Genomic DNA, 23,451 nt, shown 5'->3' on the forward strand with positions numbered 1-23,451 from the left:
TGGCAGAAGGGCAAAGGGGAAGCAAGCACATCTTCACATGGCAGCAGGGGAGAGCAAAAAGGGGGAAGTGCTACACACTTCTAAACAACCAGATCTCATGAGAACTCACTATCATGAGAACAACAGGAGGGAAATCTGCCACCATGATCCCATCACCTCCCACCAGGTCCCTCCTGCAGCATTGTGGATTATAGTTCAACAGATTTGGGTGGGGACACAGAGCCAAACTATATCATTCCACCCTGGTCCCTCGCAAATCTCATGTCCTTTCTCACATTTCAAAGCTAATCATGCCTTCCCAACAGTCCCTTAAAGTCTTAACTCATTCTAGCATTAACTCAAAAGTCCAAGTCCAAAGTCTCTTCTGACACAAGGCAAGTCCCTTCCACCTATGAGCCTGTAAAATCACAAGTCAAAAACAAGTTAGTTACTTCCAAGATAGAACAGGGGTACAGACACTGGGTAAATGCTCCCATTCCAAGGAGGAGAGATTGACCAAGACAAAGGGGCTACAGGCCCCATGCAAGTCCAAAACCTGGTGGGGCAGTCATTAAATCTTATAGCTCCATAATAATCTTTGACTCCATGTCTCACATCTAGGGCATGCTGATGCAAAGGGTGGGCTTCTAAGGTCTTGGGCACCTCTGCCCCTGTTACTCTGCAGGGTACAATTCCCATGGCTGCTCTCAAGGCCTGTTGAGTGCCTGTGACTTTTCCAGGTGCATGGCACAAGCTGTTGGTGGATCTACCATTCTGGGGTATGGAGGATGGTGGCCATCTTCTCACAGCTCCACTGTGTAGGGGGCTCCATCCCCATGTTATCCCTCTGCACTGCCGTAGTAGAGGTTCTCCACAAAGGCTGTGCTCCTGCAGCAGACTTCTGCCTTGACATCCAGGCATTTCCATACATTCTCTGAAATCTAGGCAGAGACTCCCAAACCTCAACTCTTGTCTTCTTTGCACCTGCAGGCCAACACCACATAGAAACTGCCAAGGTTTAGGGTTTGTATCCAATGCTGCGGGAGGGACCTGGTGGGAGGTGATGGGATCATGGTGGCAGATTTCCCTCCTGTTGTTCTCATGATAGTGAGTTCTCATGAGATCTGGTTGTTTAGAAGTGTGTAGCATTTCCCCCTTTTTGCTCTCCCCTGCTGCCATGTGAAGATGTGCTTGCTTCCCCTTTGCCCTTCTGCCATGATTGTAAGTTTCCTGAGGCCCCCCAGCCATGCTTCCTGTATAGCCTGCGGAACTGAGAGTCAATTAAGCCCAAGCTATACCTTCACCTGTGATAGCCGTGGCTGGAGCTGGAGTGGCCACAATGCATGGTTCCATGTCCTGATGCTGCACAGAGCAGTGTGACCCTGGGCCTGGCCTGTGAAACCATTTTTTATCTCCTAGGCCTCCAGGCCTTTGATGGAAAGGGCTGCCGCGAAGATCTCTGAAATGCCCTGGAAGCATTTTCCCCATTGTCTTGGCTATTAACATTCAGCTCCTCATGCAGCATTTCCGCAGCCTTCTTGAATTCCTCCCCAGAAAATTGGTTTTTCTTTTCTACCACATGGAATGGCTAACGGGGTGAAACTGCATCTCTACTAAAAATCCAAAAATTAGCCGGGCATCATGGCATGCACCTGTAATCCCAGCTACTTGGGAGGCTGAGGTGGGAGAATTGCTTGAACCCAGGAGGCAGAGGTTGCAGTGAGCCGAGATGGTGCCACTGCACTCCAGTTTGGGCGACAGATCGAGACTCCATCTCCAGTAAAAAAAAAAAGATGACTTGAACACATGGAAAGGTACCATGCCGTTGAACAGGAAAACTCATTATCTTTTTTTTGCTTTTTTTTTGGAGATGGAGTCTCGCTCTGTCTCTCAGGCTGGAGTGCAATGGCGTGATCTCAGCTCTCTGCAACCTCCGCCTCCCGGGTTCAAGTGATTCTCATGCCTCAGCCTCCCGAGTGGCTGTGCCACCATGCCCTGCTAATTTTTGTATTTTAGTAGAGACGGGGTTTCACTGTGTTGGACAGGCTGGTCTTAACTCCTGGCCTCAAGTGATCCGCCCACCTCGGCCTCCCTAAGTGCTGGAAATACAGGTGTGAGACATTGTGCCCGGCCCATTTGTCTCATTATGGATGATGTTAACCTTGACCACTTGATTCAGTGGTGGTAGGCTTCTTCACTTTAAACAACTTCTTTACCCTTGGTAATTAAAAAGTATTCTGTGGTGAAGTATGTTAAAACTATGGAAGTAGGGCTGGGCATGGTAGCTCATGCCTGTAATCCCAGCGCTTTGGGAGGCCAAGGCAGGCAGATCATGAGGTTAAGAGTTCGAGGCCAGCCTGGCCAAAATAGTGAAACTCTGTCTCTACTAAAAATACAAAAATTAGCCAGGCATGGTGGTGCGCGCCTGTAGTCCCAGCTACTCAGGAGGCTGAGGCAGGAAAATTGCTTGAACCCGGGAGGCGGAGTTTGCACTAAGCCGAGATTGCACCACTGCACTCCAGCCTGAGTGACAGAGCAAAACTCTGTCTCGGAAAAAAAAACTATGGAAGTACTCCATTCCTCATCAAGTTTTCAGTGTATTCAGGTATTTGTCTCAGTACGGACTCATGGTTTCCCTTTTTAATTCAATAGTATATAATCTGTAATTATCATTATCTACATGGAGCTCAAATTTTCCATGATTTGTCTAGTGGGAGCCCTTTCAAATTGGCTGTGTTCTTTCAACATGACTTCATTATTCTTTGAGCACTTCTTTGATTTATGGTATAAGATGCTCCAGGCTGGGCATGGTGGCACATGCCTGTTGTCTCAGCTAGTTGGGAGGTTGAGGTAAGAGGATCTCTTTAGCCTGGGAGTTTGAAGTCAGCCTGGACAACATAGCAAGAATCCTCTTAAAAAAAGAAAACTGAAAATGTTGCAAGCTCATCTTGTATCTTCCCTACCCCAGCCCCAGAACAAACCATTTCTGGTTCCTTTTAGTAGAGAATAATATATAAAATCCACAATCTGGAATTTAGATAAGTTCATTGCTATTGGAGTGTCACTACTTTCAGGCCCTCTTAGTGGGCAGAGTTATATATATATGTGCACACACACTCATTTATATGTGTGTCTATGTACATATGATATATACACACATACCTATTTTTTTGTCTCATACACATTGAAATTCATGAGTTCATACCAATACCTCCAATTCCAATCTAACACCACAAGGTTCTTCCCATGTTTGTAACTCCCTTCTCTGACAGTGAGAAACTCTGGCTTCCCTTATCTTTAATTTACTTGTTTGATCAAACCTTCTGTATGTAACCATCTTCTATCACCACCACTACCCCCTCTCCTGCAGATGCTCCTCCATTCCTCTCAAGCTCTGACATCCTGCAGCTCCTGGCCCCTACTCTTGCCTCCCCATGTGGTTAGTCTTTCCTTCCCAAAGCTCTGTCTGCTCATGCTGGGCCATGCTGCCAGGTAGAAGCTCCCCTCAGGCTCTGACCTCCCTGCCAAGCTATCCATGCATCAGCACCTCCTCAGCCTCCTTGGGATCCAACCGCCCATACCAGGTCACTCACTCGCACGTGATACCCTCCTACCTCTGCTAGGGATCACATACTTCACACCAGGCCACCCCTTCACGTGCACACCTTCCTTACTTTGGGCCCTTAAACTCCATGCCAAGCTGCCCCCAGGCACGATGCCCTCCATACTGTGTGGACTTTGACTCCTCACACCAGGCAGCCCTGCGATTCCAATGCCCTTCTCACCCTACTTGGACTCTGACACCCTCAATCAGGCCCTGCTGCCCCTGCCCTACCCACACGGATGACTTCACTGTTGTTGGGCTCTGATACACCATCTGGGAAACCCTGCTATGACTCAAGCCATGTTCATTTTGCTTGGGCTCCAACTCCCCTCATCAGGCCACAACACACTGCCCAACCCCTCCTTCTTCCTGCTCACCAGTGTCCACACACACACACTCACACACACACATATACAACATACATATATAACACACACACACATACAGCACACACACACACAGCTCTGGGCTTTGACTCCCTGTGCCAGGCAGCCAGCCTCGGTGCATGACCTCTTTGCTCTGCTGTGGGCCATAGAGGTTCTCCCACCCCAAACCCCAGCAGACAGTCACCTTGCTTGGCTCCTTCTAATGTCTTTAGGATTGAATAGTTTGGTAAGAAAAGAGGACACGGGCAGTGACTTTTTTTTCTCTTATCCCTGTCCTTCAGGCATTCCTTAGTTATCTTCCTTGAAGACAAACCATATTAGAAGTGTATTACATCTTTCCAGAGTTTTTGTACAGACACTCTTCTCCCCATTGTTTCATTGTACTACAATTTATTTAACCCCTTATCTCTATGATGGCAGAATTGATCAATAGAATTGACATCTTTCTGACTGATACTGAATCTTCTGGCCGGGCATGGTGGCTTATGCCTCCCAAAGTGCCTCATCCCAGCACTTTGGGAGGCCTAGGTGGGTGGATCACCTGAGGTCAGGAGGTCGAGACCAGCCTGGCCAACATGGCAATACCCATCACTACTAAAAATACAAAAATCAGGCTGGGCATGGTGGCTCACGCCTGTAATCCCAGCACTTTGTGAGGCCAAGGCGGGTGGATCACGAGGTCAGGAGATCGAGACCATCCTGGCCAACACAGGGCGTCTCTACTAAAAATACAAAAAATTAGCCAGGCGTGGTGGTGGGCGCCTGTAGTCCCAGCTACTCGGGAGGCTGAGGCAGGAGAATCGCGTGAACCCTGGAGGCGGAGGTTGCACTGAGCCGAGATCAGGCCACTGCACTCCAGCCTGGGTGACAGAGCGAGACTCCATCTCAAAAAAAAAAAAAAAAGATCAGCCGGGCATGGTGGCAGGCGCCTGTAATCTCAGCTACTTGGGAGGCTGAGGCAGGAGAATTGCTTGAACCCGGGAGGCGGAGGTTGCAGTGAGCAGAGATCATGCTACTGCACGTCAGCCTGGGAGACAGAGACACCATCTCAAAAAAAAAAAAAAAAAAAAAAAGGCACCACGCACGGTGGTTCACGCGTGTAATCCCAGCACTTTGGGAGGCCGAGGTGGCCGGATCACAAGGTCAGGAGTTCGAGACCAGCCTGACCAACATGGTGAAACCCTATCTCTACTAAAAATACAAAACACTAGCCAGGCATGGTGGCTCATGCCTGTAATCCCAGCTACTCAGGGGGCTGAGGCAGGAGAATCGCTTGAAGCCGGGTGGCAGAGGTGGCAGTGAGTGGAGATCGCACCACTGCACTCCAGCCTGGGCAACAGAGTGAGACTCCATCTAAAATATATATATATATATATATATATATATATAGAGAGAGAGAGAGAGAGAGAGAGAGAGAGAGAGAGAGAGAGAGGTGGCAGTGAGTGGAGATCGCACCACTGCACTCCAGCCTGGGCAACAGAGTGAGACTCCATCTAAAATATATATATATATATATATATATATAGAGAGAGAGAGAGAGAGAGAGAGAGAGGAGAGAGAGGGAGAGAGAGAGAGAGAGAGAGAGAGAGAGAAAGAGAGAGAGATTCTTCCTGTCCAAGAGTATGGTACCTTTCCATATGTTCAAGTCTTCTTTTGTGTTCATCAGTAATGTTGCTTTTGTTGTTGTTTTGTTTTTAATTTTTTTTAGACACAGGGTCTTACTCTGCTGCCCATGCTGGAGTGCAGTGGTACAGTCACAGGTCACTGCAACCTCAGACTCCTGGTCTCAAGTGATCCTCCTGCCTCAGCCTCCCAAGTAGCTGGGACTATAGGCACACACCATGCCCAGCTAATTTGAAAATTTTTTGCAGATGTGGGGTATTGTCCAGTCTGGTCTCAAACTCCTGGACTCAAATGATCTCACCTTAGCCTCCCAAAGAGCTGGGATTACAGGTGTGAGCCACTATGCCTGGCCCTTCAGTAATGTTTTAAGTTTTTCTTCATATAAATCTTGCACATTTTTGTAGATGTATAGACATTCCTGTGTGTTATCTTTTGTGCAGCTCTGTGAATGACAGATTCCTTCTTTGGTGTGTTGAATAATTAGACTCATCTGTAGAGGACCAGTATGGACTGGCCCTAAGACCCCTATATGCCTGCAGTGATTATTTCTTCTGGCATAATCACAAGCAATAGGGGTGGTAATCTTAAGACTTCAAAATCACTGATATCGGCAGGGAGGTAGCTAACACTTACCTAATATATGCCAGGCATTATGCTGTTGTTTTTTTGTTTTGTTTTGTTTTGTTTTTTTCTGAGATGGAGTTTTGCTCTTGTTGCCCAGGCTGGAGTGCAATGGCACAATATCGGCTCACTGCAACGTCTGCCTCCTGGGCTCAAGCGATTTTCCTGCCTCAGCCTCTTGAGTAGCTGGGATTACAGGCACCCGCTACCATGCCCAGCTAATTTTTGTATTTTTAGTAGAGACAGGGTCTTGCCATGTTGGCCAGGCTGGTCTTGAACTCCTGACCTCGCCTCCGCCTCCAAAAGTGCTGGGATTACAAACGTGAGCCACCGCGCCCGGCCTATGCTGGTGTTTTAAATAAATGTATAACATGTATATGAAAGATGTTATTATCCTCACTTTAAAGATGAAAAATCAGAAGTCTAAGGTCACAGAAGCAGTAAACTTTTTTTTTTTTTTTTTGAGATAGAGTCTCGCTCTGTCACCCAGGCTGGAGTACAGTGGCGCAATCTCAGCTCACTGAAACTTCCGCCTCCCAGGTTCAAGTGAGTCTCCTGTCTCAGCCTCCCAAGAGGCTGGGATTACAGGCATGTGCCACCACACTCAGCTAATTTTTGTATTTTCAGTAGAGACGGTGTTTCACCATGTTGGTCAGGCTGGTCTTGCACTGCTGACCTCGTGATCTGCCCACCTCAGCCTCCCAAAGTGCTGGAATTACAGGCATGAGCCACCACGCCCGGCTAACTTTTTTTTTTAATTTAATTTTATTTTATTTTCAGTTCCGGGATAATTGTGTGGAATGTGCAGGTTTGTTACATAGGTAAACGTGTGCCATGATGGTTTGCTTCACCTGTCAACCCATCACCTAGGTATTAGCCCCCGAAGGCATTAGCTATTTATCCTGATGCTCTCCCTCCCTCACCCCGGCTTCCACAGGCCCCAGCGTGTGTTGTTCCCCTCCCTATGTCCATGTGTTCTCATTGTTCAGCTCCCACTTATGAATGAAAACATACAGTGTTTGGAAAATTTTCACACTTCAAAGCCATTATTTTCTACCACAACTCAGAAGAAGCTGTAGTGAACAGTGAGGTGACTGGTTGTTGTTGACTTTGAAACTTCCATCCTCCATCACTAATTACATACCACTTAAATGTATTTTATTAAGTAGCTCAAACTCATTATGAGTACTATTTCTTAAGACATTTAAGGTAGTATACATTTTTGCTAAATGGTGAAAAACAAATTAACTAATCATCTAAATGGCCTCCAGATTCCATGTGTCCTCTTTTTCATGCTTTCACTATTGTCTTCCCCAAATTATCTCCTTTCAGCATTCCCATAAATGCAGCTGGCATGTTTTCAAATCCTTCAATGATATATTCCTTGTACTGGATTTTACCCTGTATCAAAGCAACAACAAATTTTAAAACTTAATTTAATATTCTCAATGATATACTGTTCTCATCCTAGCAACAAATTTATCAGGTACATCATTGGAAACCTTGAAAATAAGAGATGGAAGTCCTGTCCTCCATGAACTTGAAGTCAAGGTGGGGCAAGATCCACTTACACAGTACATGTAAAAAAGATTACAAAGTACACCTAAGAAGAAATAATAGGTGTCGGATCATAGTGCGAAATGTCATAAGGCAGTGATTAAGCAATCTCTTTTTCTTTCTTTTTTTTTTTTTTGAGACAGAGTCTCGCTCTGTTGCCCAGGCTGGAGTGCAGTGCCGCGATCTTGGCTCACTGCAAGCTCCGCCTCCCAGGTTCATGCCATTCTCCTGCCTCAGCCTCCCGACTAGCTGGGACTACAGGTGCTCACCACCATGCCCGGCTAATTGTTTTGTATTTTTAGTAGGGACAGGGCTTCACCGTGTTAGCCAGGATGGTCTCGATCTCCTGACCTCGTGATCTGCCTGCCTCGGCCTCCCAAAGTGCTGGGATTACAGGCGTGAGCCACCGTGCCCAGAGCGATTAAGCAATTTCTAAATAAGATGCATAGTAAAGTTTAATAACACAATGATCTCAGAGGAGGTACAAATAGACAGAGAAAAGAGCACCCTTCATTACCTCTGGCCCCTGAAGAGGCAGGTCCTATTCAGGAAATATAAATGGCAGGACAGTCTAATAATCTGTCTCCCCTTTAAGCCAAGGTTCTTTTAACATGTGTTTAACCTTTATCTGGGAGTGTGGGAAGGAAGGGTTCATGTTAGTGAGAAAGGGTCTTCATTTCTCTTTCTCCTACAAGGCACAGCCTACTAATGGGAACTAATTTACATTTTCAGATTTTTTTAAGGGGTCTTATATAGAGACCTGAGTTACCTGATACAAGTTTTTCGCTAATGTATTCCAGTGATGGCTTAGCACTCTTCATGGATTTATAGACAAGATTATTTGCTTGAAGTCAGTCAATTACAAAGTAGGGAAGCTGAAATTTAAACTTTTATTATTATTATTATTATTATTATTATTATTATTATTATTATTCTGAGACAGGGTCTCACTCTGTCACCTAGGTTTGAGTGCAGTGGCACAATCATAGCTCACTGCAGTCTCAACCTCCTGGGCTCCAGTGATCCTTCTGCCTCAGCCTCCTGAGTAGCTGGGACTACAGGGATGTGCCACCATGCCCAGCTAATTTTTTTAGTTTTTGTAGAGACGGGGTCTTGCTAGGTTGCCCAGGTTGGTCTCAAAGGCCTAGGCTCAAGTGATCCGCCCACCTCAGCCTCCCAAAGTGCTAGGATTACAGGCATGAGCCACTGCGCCTGGCTGAGATTTGAACTTTTGACTTGAAAGCCCCAACTCATTCTTATTCTTGAAGAAGCAAGGAATCTGGATAGGGTGGAAAGGTAGAATCCAGTTCAGAGGTTATAAATAGAGAACGAATACTGTTATGGACTGAATTGTATGCCCCCAATCCAAATCCATATGTTTAAGTCCTAATCACCAGTGCCTGACAATGGGACTATATTTGGAGATAGGGCTTTTTAAAAAAAGGTAATTAAGAGGCCGGGCGCAGTGGCTCATGTCTGTAATCCCAGCACTTTGGGAGGCTGAGGCGGGTGGATCACCCGAGGTCAGGAGTTCGAGACCAGCCTGGCCAACATGGTGAAACCCTGTCTCTACTAAAAATACGAAAATTAGCCAGGCGTGGTGGCGTGTACCTGTAATCCCAGCTAGTCAGGAGGCTGAGGCAGAAGAATCACATGAACCCGGCAGGCGGAGGTTGCAGTGAACGGAGATCGCACCATTGCACCCCAGCCTGGGCAACAAGAGCAAAACTCCATCTCAAAAAAAAAAGTACTTAAGGTAAAACAAAGTCACACAGGTGGGCCTTAATCAATATGACTGGTGTGCTTATAAGGAGGTTAGGACATAGACACACAGAGAGAAGGCCACGTGAAGATGCAGGGAAAAGGAAGCCATCTACAAGTTGAAAAGAGAGAGGCCTGCAAAGAAACAACCCTGCTGACACCTTGATCTTAGACTTCTAGCCTCCAGAACTGTGAGAAAATAAGTTTGTTGTTTAAGCCACCCAGTCTGTGGTACTTTATTTTGGTAGACCTAACAAACTAATACAAATACTAATGTAAAATGTTAATAATAGGGGAAATTAGGGTATAGGATGCAGGGTATATGGGAGCTCTCTGTACTATCTTCCCAATTTTCCTATAAATCTAAAACTTCTATTTTTATTTTTGTTTTTGAGACAGGGTCTTGCTCTATTGCCAAGGCTGGAGGACAGTGGCACATTCAGAGTTCACTGCAGCCCTTGAACTCTTGGACTCAGGTGATCCTCCCACCTCAGCCTCCCGAGTAGCTGGGACTACAGGTGTGCACCACTGCACCCAGCTAATTTTTTAACTTTTTGTTTTTTGTAGAGTCTCATTATGTTGCCAGGGCTGGTCTTGGACTCCTGGGCTCAAGCAGTCCTCCTGCCTCACCCTCCTAAAGTGCTGGGATTATAGCTATGAGCCACCGCACCCAGCCTAAAACTTTTCTAAAATAAAAAGTGAATTTTAAAAAATAGGGAATGAGATTAAAAAGGGAGTATGTGAAAGAAATTAGGCCAACTCACGACTTAAAACCCACTAGGGCTGGGCGCGGTGGCTCACACGTATAATTCGAGCACTTTGTGAGGCTGAGGCAGGAGAATCACTTGAGGTCAGGAGTTCAAGACAAGCCTGGCCAACATCGTGAAACCCCATCTCTACTAAAAATAGCCGAGAATGGTGGCGGGCACCTGTAATCCCAGCTACTTGGGAGGCTGAAGTGGGAGAATCACTCGAACCCAGGAAGTAGAGGTTGCAGTGAGCTGAGATCGCGCCACTGCACTCCAGCCTGGACGACAGAGTGAGCCTCCATGTCAAAAATAAATAAATAAATAAATAAATAAACACCTAACTAACTATGATCAGCTTCACTTTGTTAGAGGGAAGCACTGGGGACACCAGCACAGTGGTTTCCTGTTGTCAACTGTGATCACAGATGGGTTACATTAGATTTCACCAACTGGGACAACTTAGATTCAGCTCCCTGGTGACAGCCCAGCCCGGCACTGCAAGTGCTATACTGGGAAGAGTGCCAAGCTCCAGTGGCTGCTGGAGGAGCAATCTATTCTTTGGAATTGGGAAATGATCATTGGCCAGGGATTAGGAAACATGATGTCATTTTTCCCCTGTAAAACTAAAATAATGCAACTTGATTGTTCAGATTTCTGTTGACTAAAACTTACATGGTGTAAGGTTTGAAAATTATCACAGCACAGGACTAAGGGATTGTCTTATTTGCTACTTGGGACCTGGAAGAGCTGTGGCACATGTATGCACCCCTCTAACATTCATTTATTCAGCAATATTTATTCAGTGCCTACATTGCTTCATATACTATTCTGGGGGCTGGAGATACACCAGAAAGCAAAATGTATGAATATGCTGTCTTCATGGAGGTTACATCCTCAAGAAGGGAGATGTGCAATAAATATAAATGAATAAGTAAATTATAGTATATATTATGTTAAAAGATGATTAATTGCTATGGATAAAAGTAGGATAGGAGCCTGGGCAACATGGTGAAAGCCCTTCTCTACGAAAAACACAAAAAAACTAGCCAGGTGTGGTGGCACATGACTGTTGTCCCAGCTACTCAGGAGGTTGAGGTGGGAGAATCCCCTGAGCCTGGGTCAAGGCTGTGGTGAGCCATGATCACGGCACTGCACTCCAGCCTGGGTGTCTGAGACCCTGTCTCAAAAAAAAAAAACAAAAAAAGTCGGGGGGCGTGGGATATGGAGGATCAAGAATGAAGAGGGAATGCAACTTAAAATAGGGCCATTTAAAAACTTGCCTCACCTGGAAGGCACTTTTTGTTTTTTTGAGATGGAGTTGTACTCTGTCACTGTGCTGGAGTGCAGTGGCACGATCTTGACTCACTGCAACCTCCGCCTCCCAGGTTCAAGCGATTCTCCTGCCTCAGCCTCCCAAGTAGCTGGGACTATAGGTGCACGCCACCATGCCCAGCTAATTTTTGTATTTTTAGTAGAGACAGGGTTTCACCATGTTGGTCAGATGGTCTCGATCTCTTGACCTTGTGATCCACCTGCCTTGGCCTCCCAAAGTGCTGGGATTACAAGTGTGAACCACCGTGCCAGTCCAGACGGCACTTTTTAGCAAAGGCTTGCAGGACGTGAGAGAATTCAGCAAGCAGTTACAGAGGGGTGGAGGAGACTGGGCCAAGTAAATAAGAGGATGAATACTAAGAAATGAAATCAGAGAGATATCAGGGGTCAGATTTTGTGTAAGCTTACTGAATATTAGCACTTTGGTTTACTTTAAGTGAAATGCAGAGCTTTGCATGGTTTGGATCATAAGAACGGCAGGATTTGATTTGTGCCTTAACAGATCGCTATGGCCACCACATTGGGAATTGTCTATAGGGATGCAAAGATGGGAGGCCAGGTAGAGTCCACTACTGTTGCGGGAAGTCAGGGACCCCAAACGGAGGGACTGGCTGGAGCCATGGCAGAGGAACATAAATTGTGAAGATTTCATTTTAATATGGACATTTATCAGTTCCCAAATTAATACTTTTATAATTTCTTACGCCTGTCTTACTTTAATCTCTTAATCCTGTTATCTTTGTAAGCTGAGGATGTATGTCACCTCAGGACCACTGTGATAATTGTGTTAACTGTACAAATTGATTGTAAAACATGTATTTGAACAATATGAAATCAGTGCATCTTGAAAAAGAACAGAATAACAGCGATTTTCAGGGAACAAGGGAAGACAACCATAAGGTCTAACTGCCTGCGGGGTTGGGAAAAACACAGCCATATTTTTCTTGTTGCAGAGAGCCTATAAATGGATGTGCAAGTAGGGAAGATATTGCTAAATTCTTTTCCTAGCAAGGAATATTAATAATTAATATCCTGGGGAAGGAATGCATTCCTGGGGGAGGTCTATAAATGGCTGCTCTGGGAGTGTCTGTCTTATGCATTTGAGATAAGCACTGAAATACGCCCTGATCTCCTGCAGTACCCTCAGGCTTATTAGGGTGGGGGAAAAACTCCGCCCTGGTAAATTTGTGGTCAGACTGGTTCTCTGCTTTCGAACCCTGTTTTCTGTTGTTGAAGATGTTTATCAAGACAATATGTGCACAGTGAACATAGACCCTTATCAGTAATTCTGATTTTGCCCTTGTCCTGTTTCCTCAGAAGCATGTGATCTTTGTTCTGCCTTTTGCCCTTTGAAGCATGTGATCTTTGTGACCTACTCCCTGTTCGTACACCCCCTCCCCTTTTAAAATCCTTAATAAAAACTTGCTGGTTTTGTGGCTCAGGTGGGTATCACGGTCCTACTGATATGTGGTGTCGCCCCCAGCAGCCCAGCTGTAAAATTCCTCTCTTTGTACTCTTTCTCTTTATTTCTCAGCCAGCCAACACTTATGAAAAATAGAAAGAACCTATGTTGAAATATTGGGGGCAGGTTCCCCCGATACACTACAAGCATCCAGGCTAGAAGGCATGGTGCCTGGACCAGGGTGGTAGCAGGGAGGTGGGAGAAGTGTTCAGATTCTGTATATATTTTGAAGATAGAACCACCAGAATCTCCTTAGAGATTAGACATGGGTACGACAGAAAGACATCAAAGATGACCAAGGCTTTTGGATTGAGAAACTAGAAGTATAGAATTGTTATAACTGAGATAGTAAAGTCTGAATATGGAGCATGTTGAGCAGGAAAGATCAAAATATATTTAGTTTTCAAGATGTTATGTCAGAGATGTGTATCAGGCATCCAGGTGGACATACTAGCCTAGAGTTAAGAGGAGAGCCAGGCTGGAGATAGAGATGGGAACTCCCAGCATACTGAGCCCAGACGAGCTAACTAAGGGATAGCTCAAGCGTAGATAGAGAAGAGCAAAGTCCCAGTGACCATGACCTGGGGCACTCTAATATTAATTTGGAGTAAAGAAAAGCTAGCAAGAGTCTGAGGAGGACCAATCAGTGAGGAAAACCAAGAGTTAAGGGAAGCCAAGGGAAGAAAGCATATCAAGGAGAGAATGATCACTATGAAATATTTCCCATAGCCAAGTGAGGCTAAGAATCAACCAGTGGATTTCACTATGTAAGGGTCCCCTGTGACCTTGACAAAAGTTAATTTTGGCCAGGTGCGGTGGCTCACAACTGTAACCCCAGCACTTTGGGAGACTGAGGCGGGCGCATCACTTGAGACCAGCCTGGCCAACATGACGAAAACCTGTCTCTACTAAAAATACAAAAAGTTAGCTGGGCGTGGTGGTACACACCTGTAGTCCTAGCTACTCGGGAGGCTGAGGCATGAGAATTGCTGGAACCCAGGAGGCGGAGGTTGCCGTGAGCTGAGATTGTGCCACTGCACTCCAGCCTGAGCAACAGAGTGAGACTCTGAAAAGCCTCATATGTGGGTTTAAGGAAGAATGGAAAGAGAGGAATGGCAGACAGTGAGTGTAGACAGCACTTCCAGGTATTTTGTTATAAAAGGGAGAGAAGGGAAATGGACCTGCATTTGCAGTGGAAATGAACTTTAGAGAGGGTTGTTTTGTTTTCCTTTCAAAGATGGGAAAAGTAAGAATATTTATACTCTAAGCACAATGACCCAATAGGGAAAAACTGACGATGCGGCAGAGATGGGGAAGAATTGGTAGAACAAAAGCCTTGAGAGGCAAAGGGAGTGTGACCTAGTGTACAATTGGAAGGGGTGGCTCCGGAGCTCCTTACCTCTAAGACCCATTTCAGCAAGTCCTTCAGAGCTTTTTGGCGGGCATCTCCTTGCCAGCGGTAGACGACAAAAGCTTCCATGCGAAGCTCCTGATAGATAACAATCTCTGGGGGTGGGCCTGTGAAGAGAAGGGCACATTTGGGTGGCAGGATCCAGGGAGGTGCCCATGGTGAAACAAGCAGTACAGGTCACTGTCACTGTGCTTGGTGCTGGGAGTTTTTTGGTGCTTCTCCCCTTCCATTTCCTCACTCCTTTCTGATCCACGGGACTGCTGGCCAATCAACATGCACTCTGCAGCCAGGCAGAATAATGGCCCCAAACATGTTCATATCCAAAAACCCCAGAACCTGTTCCTTACATGGCAAAAAGGACTTTGCAGATATGATTAAGAAGTTTGGGGGTGGCGCGGTGGCTCACACCTGTAATCCCAGCATTTTGGGAGGCCAAGGCGGGCAGATCACAAGGTCAGGAGTTCGAGACCAGCCTGGCCAACATAGTGAAACCCCCGTCTCTTCTAAAAATTAAAAAAAAAAAAAAATTAGCTGGGCATGGTGGCGGGTGCCTATAGTCCCAGCTACTTGGGAGGCTGAGGCAGGAGAATTGCTTGAACCCGACAGGTGGAGGTTGCAGTGAGCCAAGATCGTGCCACCGCACTCCAGTCTGGGTGACAGAATGAGACTCTGCCTCAAAAAAATAAAAAGAAAAAAAGAACCTTGAGATGGGAATATTATTCTCCACTATAAAGATGGACCCAATATAACAGCAAAGGTCTTCGTAAGGGAATGAGGGATACAGGAAAGTTACAGTCAGGGACAGAATATGGGGTGATAGAAGCAGAGATGAGAGAGAGGAGGAGGAGGAAGAGCCTATGCCCCTGGCTTTGAGGACAGAGGAAGGGGCCACATGCCAAGAAATACAGGCAGCTGCTAGAAGCTTGAAAAGGCAAGGAAGCAGATTCTCCTCTAGCATCTTCAGAAGGAATGCAGCCCTGCCAACCCATTTTACTTTTAACCTCTAGACCTACAAGAATAAGTGTGTGGGGTCGGGTGCGTGGCTCATGCCTATAATCCAGCATTTTGGGAGGCCGAGGCAGGCAGATCACTTGAAGTCAGGAGTTTGAGAGCAGCCTGGCCAACATGGTGAAACCCTGTCTCTACTAAAAATACAAAAATTAGCTGGGCATGGTGGCACATGCCTGTAATCCCAGCTACTCAGGAGGCTGAGGCAGGAGAATCGCTTGAAGTCGGAAGGGGACTGCAGTGAGCTGAGATTGCACCACTCCACTCCAGCCTGGGTGACAGAGCGAGACTCGGTTTCAAAAAGAAAAAAAGAAGTAAACAAACAAAAGAATAAACATGTGGGTGTTTTTGTGTCTGTGTGTTTTGTGGTTGTCGTTTTTAATTTGAGACAGGGTCTGGCTCTGTTTCCCCAGGCTGGAGTAAAGTGGTGCCATCACTGCTCAATGCAGCCTTGACCTCTTGGCTCAAGTGATCTTCCCACCTCCGCCCTGCAAGTAGCTGGGACTATAGGTGCATGCCACCACACCTGGCTAATTTTTTTTAGTTTTTGTTTGTTTGTTTGTTTGTTTGTTTTTTCTGTCAGAGATGAGGTCTTACTCTATTGCTCTGGTTTGAAACTCCTGGGCCAAGCGATCCTCCTGCCTCAGCCTCCCAAAATATTGGGATTACAGGCATAAGCCACTGCGCCTGGCTAAGAATTTGTATTTCTAACAAGCTCCCAGGAGATGGTGATGCTGCTGGTCCTTGGCCCACACTTTGAAAACCAGCACCCCAGAAAAAGCACACAGCTCTCCTGCAGCCTGTAAAGAAGATACTACCCTTCTGCGTGTAAGGAAGAAAAAGTTTTTTGGTTGCCTGGTTGATTTTCCCAAGTGTCCTAATTGACTAGAAACTGACAGAATGACACCTCAGCATAGGCTTTCAAGTTCCAGGAAGTCAGGCGAAGATGCCTGGTGTGCTAAGACGAGTGGTGGAATCTAGCTTCAGCATCTTTGACCACTGGCACCACTCAGCCTAAAGTTCCCACTGATTACTTTGAGGAAAGTAACATTAGCAGTTGGAAATATGAAGCTTTGTCCTGAACCAAAAGAAACTAATGCAAGAGAATGAGACAGAAAGAGTGCTTCTTCAGAAGACCCACATCAACTATTCTTTGTGAGTTAGGGATTGGAACTCTCATTTCCTCATCTTAAATGAAAGTGGGATGGGCATGGTGGCTCATGCCTGTAATCCCAGCACTTTGGAAGACTGAAGGGAGCAGATCACGAGGTCAGGAAATCAAGACCATCCTAACACAGTGAAACCCTGTCTCTACTAAAAATAAAAAAAATTAGTCAGGCGTGACGATTTGTGCCTGTAATCCCAGCTACTCAGGAGGCTAAGGCAGGAGAATCGCTTGAACCGGGGAGGCAGAGGTTGCAGTGAGCCGAGATCGTGCCATTGCACTCCAGCCTGGGCGACAGAGTGAGACTCTGTCTCAAAACAAAACAAAAAACAATAGCCAGGTATGGTGGCACATGTCTGTAGTCTCAGCTACTCGGGAGGCTGAGGTGGGAGGATCACTTGAGCCCAGAAGGTGGAGGCTGCAGTGAGCCATGATTGCGCCACTGCACTCCAGCCTGGGCAACAAAGCGAGACCCTGTCTCAAAAAAAAAAAAAAAAAAAAAAAATTAAAAAATTAAAAAAAAAATCTCCAGTCTGGGAAACAGAGCAAGACCTTGTCTCAAAACAAACAAACCAATAAACAAAAAAGCAAAATGAAAGTGAAATGCTGTTTCTGGATTTGTGCGTGTTGATGAGAATGTTGGTTTTTGTTTTTTTACTGAGAGCAAAAAAGCATATGTAGCATTAAACCTGGAGGAAATCATTGCTTGCCTCTGAGCTATCCTAACAGTGGAATATGTTAGAATTTCTGGGGCTCTGTGGCAGGGCAGAATTCCATCTGATTAAAATGGAACGGACAAGGCCAGCTGACATCTCAAAGTCCTGTCTGAGCAGCTGAGCTTCCAAAGACTAATTGCTAAAAAGACTAGATCGAGTTACTGTATCCAAAATATTTGGCTATTCCTAATCGGACTGTGGTTAAGAAAAGGCCTCCTGCAGCTTTGCTCAGTTGGCAGGCAGACAATTTCCCATGATTCCAGCTTAGCACCAGTTAGAAAATTATAGGGGGAAAAAAAAGTCCCTAACAATAAGATTGCCAAGTAAATCTGGAGTTTCCTTCTTGGTAATGATTTTGATTTTTCACAACCTGAGAGGGAATCTACAAGTTGCCCTTTGTCAGCCCCTTCCTTTCTAGCCCCCCCATCTCCATACAGTTGTGTGGTGGTTAACCAGTGGGGCTATAAGGTTTCATTCCCATTAGTCAAGCTCATCATAGAATAAATAACCATTGATTTATGGTTGCCTGGATCCTGATTAGAGTCTGGAAGATTCCTTTTTTTCCTACTTTCTCGTACTTTCTCCTTTTTTGGGGGGGGACCATAGGTAATTTGTGATCTCTCTTAATAGCACAGAATCACTGTAGCAGAAACAGACTCTGTATGAGGAGCTTAGAAGACTGGTCTTTGTTTTGAGTCTGTTGCCAATAGGAGTTAAAGAGTCTCTGGTCCTCTTGGCCATTCCTCTCCACACCCATAAAATGAGAGGCCTGTACAAGGCATCTCACAGGACTGGGATTTAATGAATATGGTTCTCTGGTTGATACTGCTTTTGGACCTCAGAGTGTGGAGCGGGAGGGATGTGGTTTCAGCATAAGAGAGTAGGGAGTGGGGAATGGAGCGCATGGCAGGGCACCAGAGAAATAAAACAAGGACAATCAAGGAATGGAGGGAAGCTGCTGCTCCCTTCCCTTTTAGTGGCAATTGTCAGCCTGCTGAGGCCAAGACGCCCTACTGCTCCAAGAAGCACTGCCCAAGATTTCTGAAGGGCATGGCAGTCTGCTCTTCCCTTCACCCACAGCAAGTCACACTTTATTCCTCTCGCACCTCCAGCAATGTCTCTAATATCCAGAGGAACCTGAATATTTTACCAGCCAGACCAAGGTGTTCTGTTTCTAAATCAAATCATCACTGTCTTTTTACAGTTTTGCATTAAATGATAGGTAAAAACTAAAACTTTTAATAACTGTTTCTTTTATATTTGTAGATCTTGCTGTTTCTCTACATAAAAATCTAATATAAGCTGATTTAGCACAAAATATGTGAAATTATATATATTTTTATTTCTTTTGTTATTGTTTTTGTTATTATTATTTTGAGACAGGCTGTCACTTTGTCACCCAGGCTGGAGTGCAGTGGCAGGAACACAGCTCACTGCAGCCTCGCCTCCCAGGCTCAAGCAATCCTCCCACTTCAGCCTCTTGAGTAGCTGGGACTACAGGTGTACACCACCACACCCAGCTTATTTTTGTATTTTTTGTAGAGACGGCATTTTGCCATGTTGCCCAGGATGGTCTCAAACTCCTGAGCACTCACAAAGTGAGACTCTGTCTTAAAAAAAAAAAAAAAAGAATATATGAAAATCTTTCTAATAATTTCAGAGTCACTGGCCTATGGCATATCTGTGAATTTTCTCCTTGTCCAGCCTTGTGACATATGGGATCGTGTGCATGTGCTCATTACCTGGGGGAAGTGGGCCGGTTCTGTTATATGTAGAGATGGCTCCACATATGGCAATCCTTCCAAATTTCTTCATCTGGCCGATAACAGTGTTTGAAAACTCTCCACCTACCTAAACAGATAGCAAAGACAAAATGTTAAATAATCTAAATACTAGAGATTCAGGAGAATCATTAAGTCACAAGCATTATTTTACAATACCTGTTTTAGCAGCAACAAAACTGACTGAATTAGCCCAACAGTGCAGAAGACTGCAGTTAGAAAAAGACATTAGAAACAGGCATTTTCGGCCGGGCACGGTGGCTTACACCTGTAATCCCAACACTTTGGAAGGTTGAGGTGGGTGGATCACCTGAGGTCAGGCGTTCCAGACCAGCCTGGCCAACATGGTAAAATCCTGTCTCTACTAAAGATACAAAAAATTAGAAGGGCATGGTGGTGGGCACCCATAATCCCAGCTACTTGGGAGGCTGAGGCAGGAGAACTGCTTGAACCCAGGAGGCGGAGGTTGCATTGAGCTGAGATCACACTACTGCACTCCAGCCTGGGCAAGAGAGCAAGACTCCATCTCAAGAAAAAAAGAAAAATAAATAAACAGGCTTTTTCATTTGATTCTAAGACCATACCTTTTATAACTTATACATTTTCCTTTATTATATATTGAGGTTCTCTGATCAGTCCAATAACCTCATTGTCTTATAATTTAAAGGTATGGAAAAATACTCAAAAGGTGTATAGAGAACAAAGTTGGAAGACTGGCACTTTTCAATTTCAAAACTTAATACAAAGCTAAATTAATTAAGATAGTGTGAGAGTAGAAATACAGATCAATGGAACTGAATCACGAGTCCAAAAATGAACCCTTACATTTAGGATCAATTGGTTTTCTACAGAAGTGCTAAAGCAGTTCAATAGAGGAAAAATAGTCCTTTCAATAAACGTGCCGAACAACTGGATTTCCACATGGAAAATAATGCAATTGGGCCTCTTCCTTATACTACACACAAAAATTAACTTAAAATGCATCGTAGACCTGAATGTAACAGCTAAAACTATAAAACTCTTAGAAGAAAACACAGGAATAAATATTCATGACTCTGAGAAAGGAAAAGCCTTCTTAGACATGACACCAAAAGCTCAAGGAACAAAAGAAAAATAGATTAATTGGGCTTCATCAAAATTTAAAACTTTCATGCTTCAAAGAATACCATCAAGAAAGTGAAAGCCAGCCTGGGCAACATAGTGAGACTCCATCTCTACAAAAAAAAAATACATAAAAATTAGCTGGGTATGATGGTGCATGTCTGTGGTCCCAGCTACTTGGGAGGCTGAGGCAGGAGGTTGGCTTGAACCTGGGAGGTCAAGGCTGCAGTGAGCTGTCATCACATACTGCACTCCAGATTGGGAGACAGAGTGAGACTGGTGAGACTGAGTCTCAAAAAAAAAAAAGGGCAAAAACAAAAACAGAAAGAAGGTTAAAGGCAATTCACTGAATAGGAAAAAATATTTGCAAGCCATATAGAGTTGGTCCTCATTATTAGTGGATTTCATATTTGCATATTGTAAACTACTTGCTAAAATTTTATTTGTAACCTCAAACCAGTACTCACTAAGCTTTCCCTGGTCACTTGCAGACATACATGGAGCAGTAAAAAAGATGCAGATGTTCTCTGAGGCTGAATAAGACCATGCTCTGCCTTCTTGTTTCAACTGTTACACAGAGATGACCAGAGGATGGGGCCACTGCAGTGCAGTTCAAGAGGCTCTGGTTCGGGGAAGAGCTGGATGGAGTATGAATCCCAACTCTGGGGGTATTAGCTAGTGGAGTGGCCATAGGCAAGTTACTTAACACTTCTGAACCTCCTTTTGTCTTTCATAAAATAAAAGCTACTAGGATGAGTTGTTTTAAGGATTTCAGATTATAGTCTATGTGAGATATGTGCAAACATGTACATATTTCCCCTAGAAGCAATGGTTTTCAGCCTTGGTGGTGACCTTATAGAACATAAATATTGTGAATAATGAAAATCCACTGAATCTAATAAGGGACTTGTATCGGTAAGATGTAAAGAACTCTTGGCCAGGTGTGGTGGCTCATGCCTATAATCCCAGCACTTTGGGAGGCCAAGGCAGGTGGATCACCTGAGGTCAGGAGTTCGAGACCAACCTGGCCAACATGACGAAACTCCGTCTCTATTTAAAATACAAAAATTAGCTGGGCATGGTGGTGCATGCCTGTAATCCCAGCTACTCGGGAGGCTGAGGCAGGAGAATCACTTGAACTCGGGAGGTGGAGGTTGCAGTGAGCCAAGATCGCGCCACTGCACTCCAGCCTGGATGACAGAGCAAAAAACTGTCTCAAAAAAAAAAAAATCTTACAACCTCACAAATAACCTAGTTCAAAAATGGGCAAAGATTTTGAACAGATATTTCTCCAAAGAAGATATACAAATGGCAAATACATACGTTGAAAGATCCTTAATATTGTTAGCCATAGGGAAATGCAAGTCAAACTCAAATCAGAATGAAATATCACTTCAAACCTACTAGGATGGTTATAATAAAAAAGACAGACAATAGCACGTGTTGGTGAGTATGTAGAGAAGTTGGAACCCTCATACACTGCTTGTGGGAATGTAAAGTACTGTAGCCACTTTGCAAAACAGTTTGACAGCTCCTCAAAATGTTAAACATGAAATTATCATATGACCCAGCAATTCTACTCATAGGTATATACTTAAAAGAAATGAAAAATCCACACAAAAACCTCTGCATGAATGTTCATAGTAACATTATACTTCATAGCCAGAAAGTATAAGCTAATACCCATCAGGCTGGGTGTGGTGGCTCACGCCTGTAATCCTAGCACTTTGGGAGGCCGAGTTGGGAGGTTTGCTTGAGCCCAGGAGTTCCAGACCAGCCTGGGCAACATGGCGAAACCCCATCTCTACTAAAAATATAAAAATTAGTTGCGTGTGGTGGCACATCCCTATAGTCCCAGCTACTTGGGAGGCTGAGGTGGAAGGATTGCTTGAGCGAGGGAGGTCGAGGCTGCAGTGAGCCACGATCACACCACTGCACTCCAGCCTAGGTGACAGAGTGAGATCCTGTCTCAAAAAACAAAAAAAAGGAATAAAGCACTGATAAATTCTATGATATGGATGAAACTTGAAAACATTTTGCTAAGTGAAAGATGCCAGTCATAAGAGACCACTTTTAGTGGGGAGGAGGGTGGTAATGGAGAGTGACTGCTAATGAGTAGCGTTTTTTGGGGGGGGTGATGAAAATATTCTTAAACTGGTTGTACAATTTTGCCAATATAGTAAAAAACATTGACTTCTACACGTTAAATGAGTGAATTACATGGTACATGAATGATATCTCAATAAAGCTGTTTTTTAAAAAAGGCATATATACTTTCTTCATGTACCCCAAAATGGAAACTCTAGGAATATATTCCCTTGTATCAGCGGTCCTCAACCTTTTTGGCACCAGGGAGCAGTTTCATTGGAAGACAATTTTTCCATCGATTGTTGGGGGGATGGTTTCAAGGATGATTCAAGTACATTGTGTTTATTGTGCACTTTATTTCTATTATTATTGCAATGTAATATACAATGAAATAATTATACAACTCACCATAACCATAGAATCAGTGGGTGAGTTTTCCTGCAACTAGACGGTCCCATCTGGGGGTGATGGGAGACAGTGACAGATCATTAGGCATCAGGCATCATCAGGCACCTGAGTAGTGCGATCTCCATAAGGAACGCACAACCTAGATCCCTCACATGCATAGTTCACAACAGGGTTTACACTTCTATGGGAATCTAATGCTGCCACTGTTCTGAGAAGAGGCGGAGCTCAGGCAGTAATGGGAGCAATGGGGAAGGGCTGTAAATACAGATGAAGCTTTGCTTGCTCACCTGCCCCTCACCTCCTGCTGTGCATCCCAGTTCCTGATAGGCTATGGACCACTAACCATCCATGGCCCAGGGGTAGGAGACTCCTGCTTTATATAGTACTTCCATAATAAATTAGATATTAAGTCCAGTTTGTACTTACATTATCAAAATAACAATCATAACCATCAGGAGACGCTTTCTTCAAGGTTTCTTCCAAAGACTCTACCGTCTTGTAGTTAAAGACGACATCAAATCCAAGCTTTTGAAGGTAGGCAACCTTTTCATCAGACCCTACTGCTCCAACAACTTTGCAGCCCTAAGTAGAAAAAAAAAAAAAAAGGAAACCATGAATAAGTCACAAGCATGGACCAACACTACTTTCCTGGTCTCGTATGCCTAGGTTCCCTAGGAACACTCTCTTAGGTGCTGAGCC

General features: G+C 44.7%; 2 protein-coding genes across 10 annotated transcripts in view, besides 2 other annotated features; one reads left to right on the top strand and one right to left on the bottom strand.

Moving 5' to 3' along the window:
- ZNF483 (zinc finger protein 483) overlaps positions 1 to 22,519 on the top strand; it is a 52,958-nt gene extending 30,439 nt beyond the window's left edge. For both annotated transcript variants that reach the window (XM_047422864.1, NM_001007169.6), the window contains one exon: positions 20,748 to 22,519. In XM_047422864.1, coding sequence (XP_047278820.1) covers positions 20,748 to 20,797 — 50 coding nt within the window. In that variant the 3' untranslated portion in view covers positions 20,798 to 22,519. The remainder of the gene's footprint in view (positions 1 to 20,747) is intronic.
- The window catches only part of PTGR1 (prostaglandin reductase 1), a 49,926-nt gene that overhangs the window by 5,896 nt on the left and 20,579 nt on the right, over positions 1 to 23,451 (bottom strand). For 2 of the 8 annotated variants that reach the window (NM_001146108.2, XM_011518395.4), the window contains 4 exons: positions 23,179 to 23,334; positions 19,117 to 19,225; positions 14,474 to 14,592; positions 6,950 to 7,614 (listed from right to left, as the gene is read on the bottom strand). In NM_001146108.2, the coding sequence (NP_001139580.1) occupies positions 7,504 to 7,614; positions 14,474 to 14,592; positions 19,117 to 19,225; positions 23,179 to 23,334 (495 nt within the window). In that variant the 3' untranslated portion in view covers positions 6,950 to 7,503. Of the gene's footprint in view, positions 1 to 6,949; positions 7,615 to 8,540; positions 8,646 to 14,473; positions 14,593 to 19,116; positions 19,226 to 23,178; positions 23,335 to 23,451 lie in introns of those variants that run through there. The other 6 variants (XM_047423009.1, XM_047423010.1, XM_011518394.3 and 3 more) reach the window with 4 other exon arrangements.
- Positions 15,146 to 15,315: an enhancer, noted in NCBI's record as "experimental_105889 CRE fragment used in MPRA reporter constructs". NCBI's record gives its function as "activates a minimal promoter by MPRAs in K562 erythroleukemia cells, with activity observed for both the introgressed and non-introgressed 9:114333128 variant alleles {active_cell/tissue: K562}" and the evidence as "EXISTENCE:reporter gene assay evidence [ECO:0000049][PMID:34662402]".
- Positions 17,236 to 17,405: an enhancer, noted in NCBI's record as "experimental_105891 CRE fragment used in MPRA reporter constructs". NCBI's record gives its function as "activates a minimal promoter by MPRAs in K562 erythroleukemia cells, with activity observed for the non-introgressed 9:114335218 variant allele {active_cell/tissue: K562}" and the evidence as "EXISTENCE:reporter gene assay evidence [ECO:0000049][PMID:34662402]".

This window comes from Homo sapiens, chromosome 9 (genome assembly GCF_000001405.40).
Source record: "Homo sapiens chromosome 9, GRCh38.p14 Primary Assembly".
NCBI lineage: Eukaryota > Metazoa > Chordata > Mammalia > Primates > Hominidae > Homo > Homo sapiens.